This window comes from Homo sapiens, chromosome X, assembly GCF_000001405.40.
Source record: "Homo sapiens chromosome X, GRCh38.p14 Primary Assembly".
In the NCBI taxonomy this organism is placed as follows: Eukaryota; Metazoa; Chordata; class Mammalia; order Primates; family Hominidae; genus Homo; species Homo sapiens.
In genome coordinates, this window is record NC_000023.11 from 84,466,109 (window position 1) to 84,489,843 (window position 23,735).

A 23,735-nucleotide genomic window follows, 5' to 3' on the forward strand; every position below is an offset into this window, starting at 1 on the left:
TTCTTTAGCCAGTACTACAAGTTTTCTTTCTGTTAACTTGTGATAATTGTGGTCTGTGCAAAATTTTACTTGAAATTGGAACATAAATGAGGCATAGACTAGCAGAGTTTCATTAACTTTCCAACTATGAGTTCATATGTATAAGAAGTTTATGTGCCAGGAAAAGTACAAAGAGCCTTGCATAGATTTTTTTTTCATTTCCTGTCACAAGATTCCTGTGAAGTAGGAATTAGTGCCCACATTATACGAATAAAGAGACTGTTACACAAAGAGGATAAGCCACTGGCTATACCTTCTTATCTGTTCACAAGTAGAAAGTGGCAGAGCTTGAATTTGAATCCAGGTCTGTCCATGCTCTAAGCCTATACTCTAAATTGTTAGGTCAGGTTGCCTTTCTTTTAAGAAGATTATCATTCATACGACAGTTGCTAAATTTTGTTGCAATAAATAAAATAAAAGCAGGTTCTTTTATTTTAAAAAATTGTTTCTTTAAAAGTTCTGTCAGAAAAAAATAGAGACTGTGTAAAGGTAAAATCACAGGTTAAATTATCCTTTAGGGAGTGGTGGGTTTAAAAAATATTTAAATTAAACCTTGCATTCTCAGGTTTCCCAGTAAGTCAAATACAGTTGAAATAGTTATGCTGTATGGTAAAGCAGAAAATATGATAAATAATAAATTGCTGAGTTGGAATTCTGGTTCTGTCATTTACTAGCTATGTAATCCTAGGCAAGCAATTGAAATATGGATAAAATGCCTATCTGTCCAGATCATCATGAAGATTAAATGAGATTGGTTATATAAAGTGACCAAAGGTCCCAGCATATGGTCAGCCCTCAACAAATGGTAAGTGTTATTGTTACTACTATTATTAAGAACAACACTGAAGGGGTAAAGAAGTACAAAAGAGTAGGTGAATGAAGGAGGGGTGTGTAGAGGATCTTAATGGTATGATTCAATGTTACTCTAAGCATGCTTCTTTAAAGGGCACACACATAAAAATGAGTCAATTATCAATAAAGAATGACTGTTAATGATGATGATGGAGTTCTTGTGTTATGGCCAGATGACAGAGGGATGCTTCCTATACTGTATTATTGCTTTTCATTTTCAAGCAGGGAGCTGTAAGATGGAGGGAGCTAAAAGAAGATGGTTCCTTAAACTGGTTCAGAACAGCCTGGAAGCATCTTAAATCCAGACAAATCTTAAGTATTGTGGTTGAAAGGATAGAAAGTGCTAGGCTGGGCCAGTGGCTCACCCCTGTAATCCCAGCACTTTGGGAGGCTGAGGTGGGCGGATCATCTGAGGTGAGGAGTCCAAGACCAGCCTGGTCAACATGGTGAAACCCCATCTCTACTAAAAATACAAAAATTAGCTAGGCGTGGTGGTACACGCCTGTAGTCCCAGCTACTCGGGAGGCTGAGGCGGGAGAATCGCTTGAACCAGGGAGCGGAGGTTGCAGTGAGCCAAGATCACGTCACTGCACTCCAGCCTGGGTGACAGAGCAAGACTCCGTCAAAAAAAAAAAAAAAAGGAAAAGAAAAGAAAAGATAAGAAGTTCTAGCCAGTAGTAAGGAAAAATGGCAACCATCCAAGCTCTGCTATTCAAATTCTCTAAAGCAGATTTTTCAGAGGGAATTATCTATAGGATAAGAGATGTTCTGAGGTAGGCTTACACCTCACTGTTAATGTGATTATTTGAAGCATACCTGAACAATTGAATATATGAAACAGTAAATAAATAACAACTATTTTAAGCACAGGTCTAAAATTGCAATAATTCTTACTCAGAATATGTCTTTTCCCTATAAACATTTTTAAATGACTATTTGACTACTCTCTCACTTAATGTTTTAATAAAGCATTTACATTTCTAAAAAGCAGTTGGCTGAGTTACCATAGCCTCTGACTTATCAGCCATCAGCACCTAAAGAAATTATTGACTTGCCTGGTTATGTACCAGGGAAGCCACCACTCATCTAGTGACAGCTCCCCAAAATGCAACTGAAAACCATTATAGGAATAATCTATGTTCAAGATCATGAGCCCGACCAATTTAACCCTATTTTAGTAATGGGAAATTCCATGCTACCCATTAAGCTCTCATTTCCAGAACAAAATCATTTTAAATGCAGGGAAAGACTGCCATGTTATAAAAATGACTATATTCCATGAAAAAAAGACCTCATCATTTAAAAACATGAGAAACAAAGAACAAGATTCTTCAAGGAGTTAACCCCAAACCACCACTTTGAAGCAAAAATCTCACATTACTTCAATATATGAGTTAAGTGATCCAGGTCCCAAATCTAACTGGATACACACACAGTTTTTAAAACCTTTATAAAATAAATTTACACATTACCTGGTAATTGTTTTGGTTTTGTGATAATCTCAATTGGTTTGATGATGCAAAATGAGGAGAAAAATTACTCCGTAATGGATTGGTATTACTGTACATTGTACTAGATGCTGTATGTAATGAGGTCCGTGGTGTCAAATGGTAGTTTCTGTTTTGATACAGTACATTGTCTGACATATCTCTAATATTCACCATTTGTGAATTTGGCATATTTCTTCCTGGTCCGGGCAAGGTTGTACTTTGGTTCTCAGCTCGAAGGGAACTGCCACTTTCATAAAATCTCGAATAGCTTGGTATCTGTGCTCTCATCGATGCCAGCTCTTCCTCTCTGGCATATTCATCCTCAGCATCTCCAGTCTCCATTGCAATGGACAAACAATTTCCTTCTGCTGAGCTAGGCTTCTGTGGGGCATTTCCTCCCAGAATTCTCTGGGGGTAATCGCTAACTGCCAATGAAAACACTTCACGGATTTCCAAGTTTTGTGTTCTACAGTAAGGGTCTCTAATAGTTGGCTTTTGCCCACATAAGTTATGTAATGCTGGGCCTGTGTGTTCAGGCTTATATGACCTTTGAATCCCAACTGGTTCAATTTTACAAGGTCGGTGGCACACAGAAGGCTTTTGAGGTACTGTCATTTCAGAAGCTTGTACTGAAGAGTTTCCATAGTTTTTCTTTGCGTGATTGAATACTGAGTTTCCAGCATTTAGCACACTTGTCTGTCTTGACAAAATAATTGTTTTTTCACCTAGGAGTAGGGAAGCATTTTTACAGTGTGCTACTTGTCTTTGGACAGGAATGTGTAACTGAAACTCAGTATCATTTTTAGTGGCTGTTTTCTGAATAGGGATTTTATGTGCTTCTGTAATTTGTGTGTCTGTATGTTTGTTTGTTCCTTGCCTACTTGATGAACTGGCTGGACTGTATATACCAGTTACAATGACATCATTATTGGCAGATGTCCAAGAAGACTGCTGGCTTGAGGGTCGAGCAATATTAACCACATTTCTGACTGTGATGTCTGGAGCTGACAAAGAGGTTCCTGTTGTTGCTGTTCCAGATTCAGAGTTCTTACTACTCATCTTTCTTCTCTTATTGCCAACCCACGTCTGGAAGGATAAAACATGGTATTATGAAAAAAAAATTAAAAACAAACGAAGAAAAAACAAATTTTACGTGGTACATTATATTTTCATTTGTCTTGGAACCAAGGTGTACATAAAGGTAAAAGAAAAAGGTAAAATAACAGAAAAACTGACTAAAGTACAAAGGCAAAAGATGATCAGGGACTCACACTTAATAAATACCTTCAAACTTTGAAAACAGAGTGTATTATTGTTTCTCTCCTCATAACCCATCCAACTAATATGTATCAAGAAACCTAAAAATGTTTATACACTTTGACATAGTAAATACATTTGTGGTAATTTATCCTAAAAGTAACCTACAAATGTAGATAAAGTTTATATGCAATGATGTTCATCATATATTTATTTATAATACTGAAAAATTAAAAACATACTAAAGGTAGGCTATTTAATGGCATTAAGAAATGCTCATAGTATTGTTAAACAAATACACATTTGCAATCTTTAGACTCATCAACTTCCATTTTATAAATATATCATAACTTGCTTAATTTCATACTATCAGATTATTTATAGTATTTTTTGAAATATTCTTTCTTATAAGTTATATTGCCATATACCTCATCGTAGATGCATCTTTGTACTGCTGCTCTATTAGAATGCAATACTAAAAGAAAAATTGCTAGGCTCTAATATTTTCAAAGTGCTCTCCAATGTATGAGTTCCGGTTTCCTCACACCCTCACCAAGAGTTTGCCTTATCTTTTTGTAGTCTTTACTAGTCCAGGAGTTAATAAAAAGTGTATAATTGCTGCTTTGACATGAATTTCTATGGTTACAATATTACTTTCATAGAATTGCCTATCCATTACCTTTACCTATTTTTATATTGAGGTGTTTACCTTTTTAAATTGATTTGTATGCAAGAGTAATTTTCTACTAAAGTCAATAATAATTCTTTGTTACAAGCTGCAATTGTTTGTTTTCAGTTTGTCACTAATCTATGGTAGTTATTGTCTTCTTTACATTTTTCTCAACTTACCAAATTTTATACAATAAATATATATTTTGTAAACAGATTAAGATTATTAATAAAAATAATACTAGTGGTTGGTGTTTAGGATTTAATTACAAAATACATATTTTAATGTAAGTAATTTATTATAATTATCTTAGTATTATTTTTCTGAGTCATGGATCTTCTTAAATTATACAATAAGAAATATATTCTATAATGTGATTACTAAACTTTATAATAATTCCAAAATGCATACCATATTATAAACACCAAAGCACATTAATCTATTAAGAATTAAACAGGCCATGCACAGTGGCTCATGCCTGTAACTCCAGCTCTTTGGGAAGCCAAGGCAGGAGGATCGCTTGAGGCCAACATTTTGAGACCAGCATGGGCAATATAGTGGGACTCAGTCTCCACCAAATATTTTCCTAAAAAACGAATTAAAATAAATGAAAAATGAAAACATTAAATGAACTAGCCTTGAACAAACAATAGTTCAGAGTATATTTGTTTAACTTTTGTATGAATGTGTTTTTGAAGACCACATAAATTGTCCAATTTTCAATGTTTACTGTACATCTTATACAATTTATAATTATATACATTAGTGTTGCTGTACTACTGTAAATAAAAGCTAATATGTATTGAATCCCCATTATGTGTTCTCTCAATAGATAGATAGATAGATAGATAGATAGATAGATAGATAGATTTTCATTTGTCTTGGAACCAAGGTGTACATACAGGTAAAAGAAAAAAATAAAAAAACTAAAGTATAAAGGATCTCTAATAAATCTATAAAGGATCTATAATAAAGGATCTATAATAGATCTATCGATATAGAGTATTATTATTTTATATATTATATATATATATATAAACTCCTTTGGTAGGTGTTATTTTTCTAATTGTGTAAATGAAGAAACTGAGGTTCAGAAATAATAAATAGCTTGTGGAAGGGTATTCTGGGGGCAAGTGAGAGAGCAAAGATTCTGTCAATTCTACCTCACCTGAAAGCACATTAAACCTTCCACTACCCTACATGTAGTGGTTAGAAACTCCTGAAAATAGTCATCTCTATTGGCCATTTTATTTTTATAATTACTGTTTCTCCCATAAAGAAAATGTTCCACAAACTGTAGTGTTCCACTTTACTTCACATGAGGCAGTGAGAATTTTAAACTCACTCTGACTTTCATGAAACAGCAGGAGTGAGAATGACAAGCAGAAAGATGTATGAATATAAATGTCACAGGAGACAGGGAGAAAAACTAAAAGGTTTTAAATTATATACTAGAGAAATACTTAAAACTAAAATGTTAAAAGTTGAATTTTACAAATATTCAAAATAAGTTGCCACATTATGGCTTTTTAAGTAAAAATAACCTGTGGGAAGCATAACATATTTGTACGTAATCTTTACAAAAATATATAAGCATTACATTTAAAAAAAATTAATGGGAAAGCACAGTAAAATTATAAAATTTGAATTCAAGAACTATGACATCTGGAGGGCAGCTCTGGGCCACTTAAAAAAAAAAACACACAACGTAACCTATTGTGTTCTCTTCATACAATGTCTACCTTAACTCAGGAAGTTTAAGAGTGATTTTAGTGCATTGCAAATTTATGGCTTACTTATAAAGTTTTATAGTTTATACATACATATGCATATTATATATAGTTTCTTATATAGCTTGATAGATATTTATATAGTGTACCCATCAAAAAGTAAAATGCAGTAGAATAATATCCATTTACATAAGAAATAGCTATATAGCAACCTAGCAACCTCCCTTGTCCAGAACACAACCAACATAGATGTCACAAGATCCATGTACTTCACTGCAACACCTAACCTTAAAACCCACTTTCTCTAATCAACAACAAATTAGAAATTACAAAATAGGAGGGATATTAGTGATAGAGGTTTATGTTGGCAGGCACCCCAACAGTACCAAAACTAAAATTGTTCACTAAACATTGCTCACTAAAGGGAGAAGAGAAGGCACACAAAACAGAAGCAATGGGAGAAATTACTAAATAGCAGTCTGGGGTCCTTTAAGGAAAAAAATAATTCCATATACCTTACCAAGTTGTGAGTATTATTATTTTATGGCACAGTATAATAATTGATTTCCATAGTGAAAACCCTGAGTCAAAAAGTAAGGGTTCAATTGTTTTCCACATTCTCAATTGAAGAAAGTAGGAAAGTATGTAAGAAATATTTCCATTTAAAATGAAAATAAAGAAAACACATTGCCTGAGGCTTCCCAAAAGCTGAATTAAATTTTACTAAAATTTGTTCAGTTATTATCAATTATTATCAAAATATACCAAAGCTTATAAGATGTAAATGATTCTCATTTACGTTACATCTTATAAGATGGGTCAAATGAAATTGATATGATGAGAATTTGGGGTTAGGAACTAATAAAGTGATATTCATAGGAAAAAAAAGAAAGAAAAGTAATTCGGGTCATTAATCCTTAGTGTCCATAAATTTGTGTTTCAGTTCTTTCTTAGAAATTCACTGTCTCTAAACTTCTTTCCCTTTTTTTATATCTCCTTCTTTGTTTTCTTGTTTTTTTTACACCAGTATATTTATTTTTGCTTGATGTTTTAACTTTTTAAGTTTTCTTTACATTGGGATCAAGTTCTTAATACAGTGGGACTTAAGGATTTTTTAAAAGAAAAATGCAATGAATACTATCTTAGTAAAAATAAAGAAAGAGCTCTTTCAAGTAGAACATATAACTCTAGCAAAGTATCTGGGGAGGGGGGTGGGGTGTAGAGTGATGAGTCTACAAAAAAATTCCTTTTGCCCTTTAACTGGAAAACCCATCAAATATGTGTTGGGATTTAGATAAAGAAGACTGAATTTCTGTACAATTTACATTGGAATGGAGGGAATGAATCCATTTTTTACACTTTCTTGTAACATGTAACATTTTACTGATAATCTACATTCTAAGAAATTATATATTTCATTCCCATTGTTTGTTTTAGATTTTCACACCATTTTGAGCATAAATATAAATCTCTGTATTTCAACACTCTCAATATTCAATCACAATCAAGTAAGTTATGAGAAGTTTGCAATAACACATCGGAAATATGAAAGATTTCACAATATGAAAGATTTTCACAATGCAGCTGCCTGGCAAGCGTTTTCATTTTAAGGTAATGACAAGAAAAAAGAAAAAAAAAAGCAGAGGAAATTACTGCAGGAAAAAAAAAAGTAGCACTTACTAAATGCAATCTCATCAACCCATTTTATATTACATTTTCTAATACAATTAGACATTTTCCTCTGTGGCTTAGTAAAGATATTTAAAATAAGCTGTTTAGAGCTGTTAATAGGAGATATTTCTGGTTCTTAAACAAATCTGAGTATGATGATTGGTCTCAGCAAATAAGAAACAGATATCCTGGGCCGGGCGCGGTGGCTCACGCCTGTGATCCCAACACTTTGGGAGGTCGAGGCGGGCAGATCATCTGAGGTCAGGAGTTCGAGACCAACCTGTCCAACATGGCGAAACCCCGTCTTTACTAAAAATACAAAGAATTAGCCGGGCGTGGTGGCAGGCACCTGTAATTCCAGCTACTCGGGAGGCTGAGGCAGGAGAATCGCTTGAACCTGGGAGAGGGAGGTTGCAGTGAGCTGAGATCCGGCCACTGCACTTCAGCCTGGGCGACAAGAGCGAAACTCCGTTTCAAAAAAAAGAAAAAAATAAAAGAAACAGATATCCTGGATATTTTTGTCTAGAATTGGTGGTACAATTCCCTATTTGAAGGCGAATAAATCTTTTAGTCTTTAAGAAACACATATTCTGAATGATTATTCTTATTAAAATATATTTATCTTTAGGGTCTTTGAAGGTACATCGAAAGCAAACTAAACTTAAGAACAGACATCCTTTCTCTTTCCTAAATTAGCCTAATGAATGCCAAGCAGGAGAAAGTTGCTAATCTTTCAATCACTAAGGTTTCACGCTAAGAGGATTTGTAACATTTTCAAACAGACATAAAAGGTCCTATGCATTCAATAAGATCCGTGACCAGTTCTGTTAGATTTATCTCTTGCCTCCTCTCAATCACCTTCTCGTTACCTTTCAAGAATGTAGCAGCTCTGATTTTTACTACTGAATAACTATGATTGTGATAAAGAAAAATTTATTCTCTTAAGAGTCCTTGTCCCTTACTTGCTAACCCATTAAACTGCATGCATTTTATTTAGAAAGAGAAAGTATTTATAAAGCAGACCAAATGCCTGATGAAAAGTTCAAATACAATGAAAAATATGTCACATATAGTATTCACTTGGTAAATGCCTGTTTTACTGATATTATTTTTGGGGATTACATCTACATTAATTTGGGGTTTAAAGAGCATAAGATCAACAATGAATCTTAAATGTATTTATTAGTTTAAAAAGCTAAGATTTTAAAAAGATGTTTACGCTGCAAGGGTTTCTGTGTGTTCAAGGTATTTATAGAAACAAATACATACTAAATGATTAGCCCTATTTATTTTTAAAATAGTATTGTTATACCAGGGAAGTGAAGCTGTTTATAAAATTAGTGACTTCATACCCTGAATATTTTTTCTCATATTAAGCAAATATCACTTGTAATAAGAAGCTTTAAATTTGAGTGTAAGACCTCAATACTTACCCTGACTACACTGAAGTCCAGCTTAGTCTCCTGTGCACACTGTAATATGAGCTGAAAGCAATTTTTACTTTGATTTGTCATTCCATTTTCATAATAACGCTGTAAAATCCTTTGTTGTTCTACAGTAAATACAGAACGTAGATTCATCTAAAAATAAAAGAAGATACTCTGAAAATTGGAATAAAAATTTGGTATGTGCAGAATTTGTACACCTATTTTTTTAATACAATTTCAATGCTTCCAAGCTGTAAACTTCTGTAAGTGAATTAATCCCCAGTAGTGGGCAATAATTTGTGTGCTAAAGGGAGACAGCTTCTCAATGAAAAATATGCATAGTGCAAACACTTATTGAATTTGTTCAGATAATGTACCAACTTTAAAGAAAAAAAGACAGGAAATAAAAAAGAGGAAAGTCCTTATCTGGTTAGTGTTAATACATGGGAAAAAAGATAATTTCATTGAAATAAATATTTATGGCTAGTAAAGTCAGAGATGGTGGTAGCCATACGTGATCAATTATCAACAGGGACACTCACTGTTCTTTGTCAAGCAAGGCATCTGGCATATGTCTTATAGCCAGAAGCTGTACTCTGGAACAAAAGGGTGCGTTTATTTTTCATCTTGGATAAAGGGATTCTTTTACATATTAAAACAAAACCTCTTTAGAGCTTAAATATAAACATGAAGGTTTAGTGACTGTGAACATTTCTGTGCTTTAGGGAATACTAAACAAAATAATTATTTTAATAAACATAGCATATACATAAAAATTTAAAATTATATACATTTTACTCAAAATAAACCATGTTAAAACTATGTACCTTTTAATTAAATTGACACCATCACAATTTGACAAGATAAGTTAAAAAAATGCTTTATCTTTTCTGCCAGTAGACAAAATGTTTAATATTAAGGGTATACAACTCTGTGAATTTAAAGAATAAAAGTCAGGTCAAACTCTTCTTTAAAAATGATAAATTCTAGTAGTGCATTTCATAAAGAATCCTTGTGATTAGATTAAGTCAATTTTGGGTTCTTGTTAAAAGCTGTCACACTAAACTTGTTAATCCCAAAAGTTGACAGAAAAAAATACCACATCTTTTCCAAGAAAAGCGTCTCCTCAAAATTAAGAAAACAGCAACACATTAGTTGGGCATGGTGGTGTGAGCCTGTGGTCCCTGCTACTTGGGAGGCTGAGGTAGGAGGATTGCTTGAGCCCCAGACGTGGAGGTTGCAGTGAGCTGAAATCACACCACTGCACTCCAGCCTGGGTGACAAAAAGAAACTCTGTCTCAAAAAAAAAAAAAAAAAAAGAGGAAAGAAAAGAAAGGAAGGAAGGAAGGAAGGGGAAAAGAAAAGAAAAAAGAAAAGAGCAACAACGAAACTCTTCAAGCCAAACCAGACAGAAATTTTTCCAGCATACTGTGTATGGAAATAACCAAGTACATTGACACGGAAATAACTTATCTTTCTCTGAATACTTTAAAAAATAAAGCTCTCTATTAAGGAAAGTAAGCAGTCATCCAGTCATCCAGTGCAATCTGTACACCTGACTTTCTTGTCCGCACAAGCATCTATCTCATCTATCTCCTATCTAATGTTAAGAGATCTGATGAGAGAAAATCAGATGTAGGCGAGCACCAGGAAAGATGAGAGTAAAGTTTCTCCCTGAAACATCTGAAGCAAAGACTTCTACTGACTTTCTGAAGGGGATCTCATTCAAGTGCACTAATGTGTAAGCCTAAACCGAACGAAATTTTCAAGGATGCGTGGGCAAGTGAGCAGGAACAATATCCATTAAAGCAATTTTTTTTTTACTATCATGGCTGCCAGATTTCAGAGCCGTTTGGGGTTTCTTTTCCTAAATGGTTCAGCTGCAGTCAGGAGAAGAGCCAGAAGATGGAGGTCAAATACCTGAAATATTTCATCTGGTATGGATTTAGAAGCAAGGTACTTTGAAATGGGTTCTGAGGACAATGGTATACTTCAAATCATTAATGTACAATCAGAGCTCTGATCCTCCTCTGCAGGGCTGTACCTACTGCAAAAAGCCTAAAGTACAAGATGTGAGTGATCACCAAGTGTGATAATATCTGCCCTATGTTTTCCCATTAGCTGGCTGCAACTGTTACATTTATCTAAGTGTGATATCAACCTACAAAACACACCAGGTCCTTCCCCATTGATACCAGTAGTCAAATAAAGATGACTGAGTATTAAACAGATTTCTGGATACTGCAACTCTGACAATAGACAATGCAGGGACCTTTTAGTTTTCCCTTTAAATTCAGTAATAGCAGCAAGGCCACTTTGCTCAAAAGATCTACTATATTATAGGAAGTTAATTCTTTACAACAACTAGATGACCCCATTTGAGCAAGATAATTTATCATTATCTTCATCCACCCTAGCAATCTTGGCCTCTGAAGTGGCAAGATATTGAATGACTGCACTGCCAAGTTTCTTAATCATTTGCAACAAAATAATCAAAAATAGAGTTTTTAAAATAATAACTTTTAAAGTTGGGTTTTTATTTATGTGGAAGATAAAATAACAAATGGTCGGTTCCCTGGAAATTGAGGTCTGTTGGGTTGTGGTGGGGATGGTGGCTGAATTAGGGGATTGAGTGCTGAAGTAACAATTTATTTAGTGTTACCCCCAATATTCTGTATTATGCTACCATTCAGCACATGCCCACCCATAGGAATAAGACAACCTCGGTTTATGCTCAGCTTCACTGCTGACAATTTGGTAAATCATTTAATTTCCATGAATATCCATTACCAAGTCTGTAAAATGCTGGACTGTACAAGTCATCTTGTCTACTACTCTGGGTTGATACAAGTAAGTTATGATATATGAACTCATTTGTGTTAAGTTGTAAAGCATGTAGTTGTAACATACCTATATTTTTAGTACAACTAGGCTCTTAAGTTTATATATCATATTCAGATATGGAATTTTTCAGGTTCCACTCAGGTTTAAGATTCAGTATTTTAATGAAGACTCTGAGACATTGAGAAAATATTAAATCATGCTTAGTATGTTCTATTCAAACAAGCTGAACAATGAGTATAATTTTTTAGATTTGTTGCTTTGGAAGTACCTGAAAAATACAGCTTCTAAGAATGTCTGCTTCCTTAGGTGTTCCAGATAGCAAAGGCCATATTTTCACATGGAAACACTTGAGATAAATTCCTATATGATGTAACACTGTTCTTATAGATTCGATGCCATACTTAAAACCAGCTCAATGCCTTACTAATGCCCCAGCTAATTAAAACATTTGAAAAGTACCAAAAAATTTACTTATAAGTATTCATTACTGGAAAACAAGATATTCTAAATGGGATGACGCATTTGGAGGCTGAGGTAGGAGGATTTTTTGAGACCAGGAATTTGAAACCAGCTTGGGCAGCATGGTGAGACCCCACCTCTACAATTTTTTTTTAATTTTAATTAGTGGGGCATGGTGGCATGTGCCTGTAGTCCTAGCTATTCAGGAGTTTCAGGTGAGAGGGTCTCTTGAACCCAGGAGTTCGAGGTTACAGTGAGCTATGACTGCACCATTGCACTCCAGCCTGGGTGACAGAACAAAACCCTGTCTCTAAATAAATAAGCAAATAAATAGAAATGGGACAAGTCCATAAAATCATCATCAATTCAAATATAACGCATTCTTTCCAATATTAAAAATGTGCATTTGGAAAAGCCATTGATGTTTTTGTTTACAAAGTGTTGAGCCAAGTTAAACATAACACATTGAATATCTTATTTTGGCCAACATGTCTGTATTAATATTGTACTTTTTATCCATTATTATTATTCACTTCTAAACTTACATACAGTAAAATTCACTCTTTTTCATGTACAGTTTTATGAGTTAAGAGAAATGTATATAGTCATCAAACCATCACCAAAATCAAGACAGAATAGTTTCATCACTCCCAAAAATTTCCCTTATGCTGCCTCATTAGCAAGCCATCCAGCCACCCCAGCTCCTGGCAACCACTGTTTCTATAATTTTGACTTCCGTAGACTGCCCTATAAATGGAATCAACATGTAGACTCTTCAGCCTAGCTTCTTTCACTTAGCATAGAGCATTTGAGATAAATCTGTGTTGCTGTGTGTCATCAGTAGTTTGTTCCTTTTTCTTGTAAAGTCGTATTTTATTGTATTAATGTACCACAGTTAATTCATCCACTGAAGGACATTGAATCTGCTTTAAGTTCTTGGCTGTTATGAATAAAGCTGTTAAGAACATTTGTACACAGGTTTCTGTGTGCAGGTAAGTTTTCATTTCTCTTGAGTAAATACCTAGGAATGAAATTTCTGGGTCGTATGGTAAGTGTATGTTTAATTTAATAAGTTGTTAACCTGTTTTCAAAATTGGCTGTACAAATTCGCATTCTCGAATGCACTGAAAAACATTCAGTGAAAGATTCATTTCTTTCACTTCCTCATCAACATTTATTACAGTCAATTTTTTAAAAATTAGCCATTTCCTAGTTGTGTAATTGAATATTATTGTTGTGGTTTTGTGTTTCTCTAGTGACAAATGTTGTTGAACATCTTTTTGTATACTTACCCGCCACTTCTTTGTGGAAGTGTTTTACTCAAATATTTGCCATATTTTTTAATTGGGTTGTTTACTTATTATTGAGTATTGAGGGTTCCTTATATATTCTGGATACAAACCCTTCATCAGAAATATGATTTCCAATGTTTCTCCACCTGTGGCTTATCTTTTGCTAATTATTTATATCTTGCCTGATTTCTTTTACTAGAGATTTATAGTTTTCAGAAAACAGATCCAGCATATACTCTGTTAAATAAATACCTATATATTTTCTGTTTTAGGGGGGTTATTATTGTAAATTGTATTTTTTAACATTTCCAATTGTTCATTGCTAGTTTATTAACATACAATTGATCTTGGTACATTGAAGTTGTATTCTGCAACTTTACTAAACCAACTTACTAGTTCCAGGGGATTCAGTTGATTGGTATTTTCTACACAATCATGTTGTCCACAAACAGGGACAAGCTTATTTCTTGTTTTCTGATATGCATTCTTTTCATTTTTCTATCTTGCCCTAACTGGACTGGCTAGGACATAAATCATGATGTTTTAATAAGAGCTATGAGAGTAGACATTCTTGCCTTATTCTCAAGTTTGGAGGGAAAGCGTTAAATCTTTCACCATTAAGTATGATGTTCGCTACAGGTTTTTCATACATGCCTCTCACCAGGTTAAAGAAGTTCTCTTTTATGTTTATTAAACTGAGTTCTTCTTCTTATTATTATTATTGTTACCACTAATGGATATTGAATTTTGTTAAATGCTTTTTCTTGCATCTATTGAAATGATTGTATAGTTTTTATTCTTTAATCTTTAAATGGTAAATTATGCTGATTGATTTTCAAATGCCAAACCTGCCTTCTATTCCTGGAATAAACCTCACTTGGTAGTGATGTATTATTCTTTTTATATATAATTTATTAAATTTTTAAATATTTGGTTAAGAATTTTTTAGTCTATTTTTGTGAGGGATATTTGTTGTGGTTTTCTTTTCTTGCAATGTATTTGGTTTTAGTACTAGGGTAATGAGTTAGGAAGTATTTCCTTCATTTATGTATTCTAGAAGAAATCACATGGAATTGCTAATAATTTCATTTAAATCTTTCTTAGAAATCACCAATGAAACCATCTGAACATGGAGTTTTCTTTGTGGGAATGTTTTGAAGTACGAATTACATTTCAGTATTATTCAGATAATCTATTTATTCTTGAGTGAGTTTTGATAGTTTGTGTCTTTCAAGGAATTGCTCCATTTCATCTAAGTTGTTGAACTCAAAGGTATAAGGTTGTTTATTAATAGTTCATTGTTTATTATTATTATTTTACTGTCTGTAGGGCCTGTGGTGATGTACCTTTTTTCTTCTTGATATTGGTAAATTGTTTGTTCTTCTTTATTTAGCATTTATTTAGTGATCTTTTAAAAGATCACTGTTATTGAAGAACTAGCTTTTAGTTTCATTAGTTTTGTCTATTGTTTTTCCGTCTTCATTTTCATTAATTTCTACTCTCTATTTTTTGTTCAGCAAGTATTTATTGAGCGCCTTCAATGTGCCAGATACAATGTACAGGGGACACAATATTTATCACAGGAGACATGGTGGATCCAGTGCTCATTGTTAGTCTTTTGATGCCACAGATTCCACATCACTGAGAGGTTATGTGGTTTGATTTTGTTCACCATTCTATTTACCGGACATATTTATTTTCCTACAGCACTCTATTAACCTCGTTTTCTGCCTTCTGTCAATTTATGAACAAATTGGGGTCTGTTTTCCCTCTCTACAGGTGACTTTTCTCACCTTTTTAAGTGCTTGGACAATTTTTTTTTAATTCTTAAATTTCAGTGACCACCAAATTTAATCTCAAACTTTATTTTTTATCTTTACTTTTTACTTTTAGATTCAGGATGTATATATGAAGGTTTCTTACTTGGGTATATTGGGTGATGCTGGGGTTTGCGCTTCTAGTGAACCCATCACCCAAACAGTGAACATAGTACCCAGTAGGTAGTTTTTCAAATCTTGACTGCCTCCATCCCTCCCCACTTTTGGAGTAATCAGTGTCTATTGTTTCCATCTTTATGTCCATATGTACCCATTGTTTAGCTTCCACTTATAAATGAAAACGTGTGTTATTTGACTTTCTTTTTTTATGTTAATTCACTTGGGATAATGGCCTCCAGCTGCATCCATGTTGTTGCAAAGAATATGATTTCATTCTTCTTTATGGCTATGGAGTATTTCATGTTGTATATGTACCACATTTTCTTTGTCTAATCCACTATTGATAGACACTTAGATCGATTCCATGTCTTTGTTATTACGAATAGAGCTGAAATAAATATATGAGTCCAGGTATCTTTTAGATAAAACAATTTTTTTTCGTTCACCCAGTAGTGATATTACTGGGTCAAATAATAGTTCTAGTTTTAGTTCTTTGAGAAATCTCCATACTGCTTTTCATAGGGATTGTATTAGTCCATTCTCATACAGCTATAAAGAAACTTTCCAAGACTGGGAACTTATAGAAGAAAGAGGTTTAATTGACTAACAGTTCTGCATGGCTGGGGAGGCTTCAGGAAACTTACAATCATGGCAGAAGGGAAAGCAAACATGTCCATCTTCACATGATGGCAGGAAGGAGAATAATGATAGCCAAGCAAAGTGGAAGCCCCTTATAAAACCATAACATCTCATGAGAACTTACTCATTATCATAAGAATAGCATGGGAGAAACTAGCCCCATGAGTCAATTATTTCCCACTGGGTCCCTCCCACAACATGTGGGAATTCTGGGAGATATATTTCAAGTTGAGATTTTGGTGGGGACACAGCCAAACCATATTATTCCGTCTCTGGCCCTTCCCAAATCTCATGTCCTCACATTTCAAAACACAATCATACCCTTCCAAAAATCCTCCAAAGCCTTAATTCATTCCAGGATTAACCCAAAAGTCCAAGTCCAAAGTCTCATCTGAGACAAGGCAAGTCGCTTCCGCCTATGAGCCTGTAAAATCAAAAGCAAGTTAGTTACTTCCTAGATACAATGGGAGTGCAGGCATTGGGTAAATACACCATTCTAAATGGGATAAATTGGCCAAAATAAATGGGCTATAGGCCTCATGCAAGTTCAAAATCCAATAGGGCAGTCATTAAAACTTAAAGTTCCAAAGTGATCTCCTTTGACTCCATGTCCCACATTCAGGTTATGCTGATGCAAGGAGTGGGCATCAAAGGGCTTGGGCAGCTCCAACTTTGTGGCTTTGCAGGGTACAGCGCCCCCCTCAGCTGATTTCACAGACTGATGTTAAGTGTATGTGGCTTTCCCAGGCTCATGGTGCAAGCTGTCGGTGGATCTATCATTCTGGTGTTGAGGACAGTGGCCCTCTTCTCACAGCTCCACTATCTGTGTTGGGGCTCCAACCCCACATGTCTCTTCCACATTGCCCTAGCAGAGGTTCTCCATGAGGGCTCCACCCATGCAGCAAATGTCTGCAGGGACATCCAGACATTTTCATACATCCTCTGAAATCTAGGTGGAGGTTCCCAAACCTCAATTCTTGACTTATGTGCACCTGCAGGGCCAACACCATGTGTAAGCCACCAAGGTTTAGGTGGCTTTGCACCCTCTGGTGCAATGGCCTGAGCTGTATGTTGGCCCCTTTTAGCCATGGCTGGAATGCAGAGCACCAAGTCCCAACTGTACAAAGTAGCAAGGCCCTGGGCCTGGCCCATGAAACCATTTTTTCTTTGTAGGCCTCTGCACCTCTGATGGGATGGGCTTCCGTGAAGACCTCTGAAATGCCCGGGAGACATTTTCTCCATTGTCTTGGTGATTAGCATTTGGCTCCTTGCTACTTATGCAAATTTCTTCAGCTGGCTTGAATTTCTCACCAGAAAATGTAATTTTTCTTTTTCACTGCATCATCAGGCTGTAAATTTTCCAAACTTTTATGCTCTGCTTCCTCTTGAATGCTTTGTCACTTAGAAGTGTCTTGCACCAGATACCCTAAATCATATCTCTCAAGTTCAAAGTTTCACAGATCTTTAGGGAAGGGGCAAAATACCACCAGTCTCTGTAGAGCAAGAGTGACCTATACTCCAGTTTCCAACAAGTTCCTCATCTTCATCTGAGAACACCTCAGCCTGGACTTCATTGTCCATATCACTATCAACATTTTGGTCAAAGCCATTCAACAAGTCTCTAGAAGTTCCAAACTTCCCTACATCTTTCTGTCTTCTGAGCCCTCCAAGTCTCTAGGAAGTTACAAATTTTCTCACATTTGCCTGTCTTCTTCTGAGCCATCCAAACTGTTCCAACCTCTTCCTGTTACTCAGTTCCAAAGTTGCTTCCACATTTTGGGGTATCCTTATAGCAGTGCCCCATTCCCAGTACCAATTTACTGTATTAGTCTGTTCTCACGCTGCTATAAAGAATTGCTTGAGACTGGGTAATTTATTAATGAAAGAGTTTTAAGTGACTCATAGTTCCACATGGCTGGGGAGGCCTCAAAACTGACAGTCATGACAGAAGGGGAAGCAAACATGTCCTTCTTCACATGATGGCAAGAAAGAAAAGAATGAGAACCAAGTGAAGAGGGAAGCTCCTTAGAAGACCACCAGATTTTGTGAGAGTTTACTCACTATCATGAAAATAGCATGAGGGATACCACCCCATGATTCAATTACCTCCCACAGGTCCCGCCCACAACACATGGGGATTATGGGAACTATAATTCAAGATGAGATTTTGGTGGGGACACAGCCAAGCTATATCAGAGGTTGAACTAATTTACTTATATTCCTACCAATAGCATGTAAGTGTCTCATTTTCTCCACATTCTCGCCAACATCTATTATTTTTTGAATTTTTAAAAATAGCCATTTTGACTGGTGTGAAATGGTATCTCATTGTGGTTTTATTTGTATCTCTCTGAAGATCAGTGAAGTTGATCTGATCTTATATTTACTAGTCTCTTCATTTGGCTTTGTTTGGATTTAATTTACTTTTCTTTTCCTAGTTCCTTGAAATGGAAGCTTATACTGTTGATCTGGGACCTTTCTTCTTTTCTAAATACAAGCAAGTAATGTTAAATTTAGTTCTAAGTATTGCTTTAGTTACATTCTAAAAATTTTGATAAAGTATATATTGTCATTCAGTTCAAAATATTTTCCAATTTCTCTTGTTTACTGTTTAATTAAAATATTTAGGGCATTTCCAGATATCTTTCTGTTATTAATTTTTAGTGTAATTTCATTATGATTAGAGAACATACTTTTTATCATTTCAATTCTTTAAAATTTTTTAAAAGTGTGTTTTATGTCCCAGAAAATGATTTCTCTTTGTGACTGTTCCATGAACACTTGAAAGGAATGTATAGTCTGCTGTTGGGTGGTCATTTCTAAAAATGTCAATTAGGTCATGTTGTTTGATAGTATTTTTCAGGTTTTCTATATCCTTATTGACTTCCTCACAACTTTTTCTATCAATTACTAAAAGAAGAATGGTGTAATCTCCATCTATAACTGTGGATTTGTCTATTTTTATTTTCAGTTCTGGAAGTTTTTGCTTTATGTGTTTGTTTGTTTGTAACATAGTCTCACTCCATCACGCAGGCTGGAGTGCAGTGGCACAAACTTGGCTCTCTGCAACTTCCATTTCCTGGGTTCAAGCAATTCTCATGCCTCCTGAGTAGCTGGGATTATAGGCATGCATCACCATGCCTGGCTAATTTTTGTATTTTTAGTAGAGACGGGGTTTCACCATGTTGGCCAGGCTGGTCTTGAACTCCTGGCCTCAAGTGATCTGCCCTCCTTGGCCTCCCAAAGTGCTAGGATCACTGGTGTTAGCCACCAGGCCCAGCCAACTTTTTGCTTTATGTATTTTGAAGATCTGTTGTTAGGCACATATACATGTAGTATTGTTATATCTTTTTGGTAAATTGACCCTTTATTCTTTAGTTATGTAATGCTGCTCTTTATTCCTGGTACTAGTCCTTGCTCTGCATTCTACTTTGCCAGACACTAATATAAACACTCCAGCTTTGTTTTGATTGCTGTACCATAGTATATCACTTTCCATATTGTATTTTACCCTATGTCTTTTATATAAAGTGGATTTCTTTTATAAAACATATAGTTTGGTTATTTAATCCAATATGACAATACGTTTTAATTAGTTTCTTTACACCACTTACATTTAATGTAATTACTGATATGGTTGGATATAGGTATACCATATTATTTGTTGTTTTCTGTTTGTCCCTCTGACATTGATCTCCTTTTTCCAACTTCTTTTGGATTATCTGAATACTTTTTGGTATTCTGTTTTAATTTTTTTTTGCATATTTTTAAGTGATTGTTTTAAGGATTACAATGTACATATCTATTTTTTCTTTTTACACATTTAATATTTTACAACCTCAATGACAACTATCTAGGTACCTTTTCCCTCCCCTCTTTGTTTTATAGTCATCATACATAGTACATCTCCATGTATTAAAAACCCTGATAGACAATGTTATCATTTTTACTTTCAACAGTCATACATATTTTAAAGAACTTAAGAAGACAAAAATAGAATCCCATATTTACCCAGAATTTGCCATTTAATTTGGTCTTTTTTTGTTCCTGAAACTCAAATTTTCTCCTGCTATCATTTCCATTCAGCCTGAAGAATTTACTTTAACATTTTTAAGAATAGATCTGTTTGCAAAAACTTTTCTTAGGTTTTTTAAATCTGAGAATGTCTTTATTTCATCATTTCTGATACATATTTTCATGGACTATAGGAATCGGGGTTGACTTTTTTTTTTCATTTAAAGATGTTTTTCCACTGTTTTACATCTCCATGGTTTCTCTTAAGAAAAATTCAGTCATTCATACCCTTGTTTTCCTATGTATATGCTGTTTTTCTATGGCTATTTTCAACATTTTTTTTTACCTTTGGCTTTCAACAGTTTGATTATTAAGTGTCTAGGCATAATTTTCTTTGATTTTATATTATTTCAAGCTCCTTGATATTGAATCTGTAAATTTTCATCTTTTACAAAATTTGAGAAGTTTTCAGATATTATTTCTTCGAATATTTTTTTCTACACCAATCTCTCTCCTGTCCTCCTGGGATTTCAGTGACATGAATACTATTTTTATATCATCCCATAGGGCTTGAGTTTCTGTTCATATTTCTACATATTTTTTTCCTCTCTGGTCATCAGATTAATTTGTGTTGATTTATCTTAAAGTTCACTGACTGTTTCCACTGTCTTCATCATTCTCTTACTGAGCACAGATGGTGCCTGTAAAAAAATTTCAGATAATGAATTTTCAGCTCTATAATTTCCATTTAGTATTATTTTCTAGGCTCTATTACTCTGCTGAGAACTTCTCACAGCTTACTCTTTTTCAAGGTGTTTATTTTCATCTAAGGGAGCATAGTTATAGTAGCTGTTTTAACACCTTTTGATAGAATTCCAACATCTGGGTCATATTGGTGTTGGCATCTCCTGTTGAGTATGTTTAAATTCTATTTTGGTTCTTTTGAATATTATTTGTTGGCATCCTCTTGAGAATGTTGATTTGGCAGAACACAGTTAGCAGGCAATCTACTATGTCAGATTCAACTGCAAATACTTTTTTTAAAAAACTTCTGTCAGCAAGTCAGCTCAGTTTTGAAATCCTTTTCTGTGTTATTTTGGGTCTGTCCTCACACTAGTACCATTTGGGTGGTGGTTTCAATGTCAATTCTATTTCCAAAGCCTCTGCTATCTATTTCGAATCTGTCCCACTCCTGAACAACTCAAGGATGAGCTTAAGCTTTCCACAGGTTGATGCCCAGTATTAAAAGATCCCCTTCCTCAACTCTTTCCTCTCCATGATTCTCCACTCACTGTACAGCCTGCAAGGGCCACTTTTCCTGGTCCTCTAGACAGAAATATAGGGTTTCCCTTAGAGTTTATTTTAGTTGTTCTATTGTCACTGCAGCATAGCTCTGCAACTGGAGCCACCATTGATTAAAAAGTGGAAGTGAAAGACAGAGAATGAAACTGACTCAGAATTTACTCTCACACTGTTGGGACTGCCAGCTGCTATTGCAGTTTTAGCCAGTAATGTACCGCTCCATAGTTCCATGAGATGGATCCAGCCTTGGGTCAAAGTCTCAAGAGAAATGGGGGAAAACTGGGAAACTCACCCATATATGGTCACTTCATATTCTGACTGCCATCCTCAATCTGCCTGCTTTTGTTTACCTTTAGGAGTTCTGAGGGAGTTTCTCTTAAAATTTTGTCCAGAGATTGTAGCTGTAATAATCAGGAGAGAAGGTTATAGTGGGCTTACTTCATGTTGGTCAGAATCGGAAGTCTAGCACTGCATTTTTAAAATTTAGATCAAACTAAACTTTAAGGAACTTTAAGTCAAATCAAAGCTATATTTATTTAACCCTTGCTGAAGAGCAATACTTTTGGGCTGATATTACTGGTTTAAAATCTAAAACACACACACACACACACACACACACACACACACACACACAACCAGTTTTCCGTCTTTCTCAGAAGCTTTTATATATGAAAATACAAATAACTACACTTTTGAATAAATTAAATATTAGAAATGTTTTGAAGCAAATAAAAGACATTAGTAATAATATACTTCTAGGCATTTTTTCTTGGCATTTTAATTTTCTTGGCCACAAAAATAAATGCTTCATGTTTAATTGTATAGTCTCTAGTTGTTCTGCATAATTTGGTATGAAGACATATGAAAATTCCCCAGTTGCCACTATACTTCCATTTCTAAGATATTTTGGGAAATTAGTCATTCTGGAAAGCTAAAGTGTATACTCCTTTGAGCAATAAAATTTTATTTTTCATAAGTTTTCATCTTAGATGAAAATATTTCTGAACTACCTTATTCACTCTCTTGAGTTGTTAAACAGGGAATAGAAAAATAAAGTGTTTTTATAAGAATGGGTCATCATTATAAACATAATTTAATAAATGGTGTTCTAATAATTGTGATACGGTGTCTGTCTCTTCATTAAAACACATTAAAATTTTTGCATATCCTTTTTATAGTTTCTCTTTTACTCTCCTTGTCTGTCATCGTTTGTCATGCTGTCAGTGGGCTTGCCTTTAGCAATTCCCTCTCACTCTTAATTTGCCGGGTTTTGTTGTTTTTCATTAGTTTGTTTTTTCTAATCTGGTAAAAGACCAGAATTTTCAGGAAAGGCCTGAGAGGTTTACTCATGACTCTATCATTTGGGCCTTACCTTGTAGATTTTGTGACACTTATTTTCTTGGATTTGCTGGAGGAATGATATATGTGAAGGATTACTACTGTGCCCTTTTACTCTAGTGATGATCTATAGTAGTTAAAATGGCTATTTTATTTCACACATGAACTGAGCAGTAGTGGAATGGAAAGTTGGATTAAAATCAACCTCTCTACCATGTGGACATATGGTTGTGGTGAAGTACAATTTATGGCAATAGTTGTTTAGTAAACAAAACAACTGCCATCTTTTGCTTAATATTTAGTAAATAAGGCAAATAAAAACATTAGATGAAATATTAAATTATTCTTAACAACACAGAGCAAGCGGGGTTTTGGTTGGGAGAAGGAAAGAGTTGTTGTAGAGGTTGGGGACTCTTGGATAGAACAAACATTGGTATTCCACTCCCAGGTCAGTCTGTCAATTTTTGTGTACCAGTGATAGACAAAGGGAAATCAGTGGGCCAAGTTCACCTCTGCTGATTTTACAAAGAAAGAGTTTTAAACTCAACTGTCTATACAATGCAAGATAATCTGCTTTGCTCTGCCTTAACCAATCAGGCAGACCTAAGTGTATGGTAGAGGGAGAGAGTTCCTTCTCTGTCTCACATACTATAAGCTTCTGTATTACAGGAAGCAAATTTTCATCTTTTTAATTAACCAGCTTCTAGAACAATGCCTTGGACATAATAAGTGCTCAAATGAGTTGCAAAGTATTACCTCCACTTCTGTGTCCTA

General features: G+C 34.7%; 1 protein-coding gene across 13 annotated transcripts in view; it reads right to left on the reverse strand.

Annotated features, from left to right (window-relative positions):
- HDX (highly divergent homeobox) overlaps nucleotides 1-23,735 on the reverse strand; it is a 184,576-nt gene that overhangs the window by 148,231 nt on the left and 12,610 nt on the right. For 8 of the 13 annotated variants that reach the window (XR_001755653.2, XR_001755652.2, XM_017029275.2 and 5 more), the window contains 2 exons: nucleotides 9,143-9,289; nucleotides 2,364-3,467 (listed from right to left, as the gene is read on the reverse strand). Coding sequence is in view for 10 of the 13 variants with exons in the window: in XM_017029275.2 (XP_016884764.1) it covers nucleotides 2,364-3,467; nucleotides 9,143-9,289 (1,251 nt within the window). In the remaining 3 variants the exon portion in view is untranslated. Of the gene's footprint in view, nucleotides 1-2,363; nucleotides 3,468-9,142; nucleotides 9,290-21,915; nucleotides 22,025-23,735 lie in introns of all 13 variants that reach the window. The other 5 variants (XR_938392.2, XM_047441827.1, XM_011530864.2 and 2 more) reach the window with 2 other exon arrangements.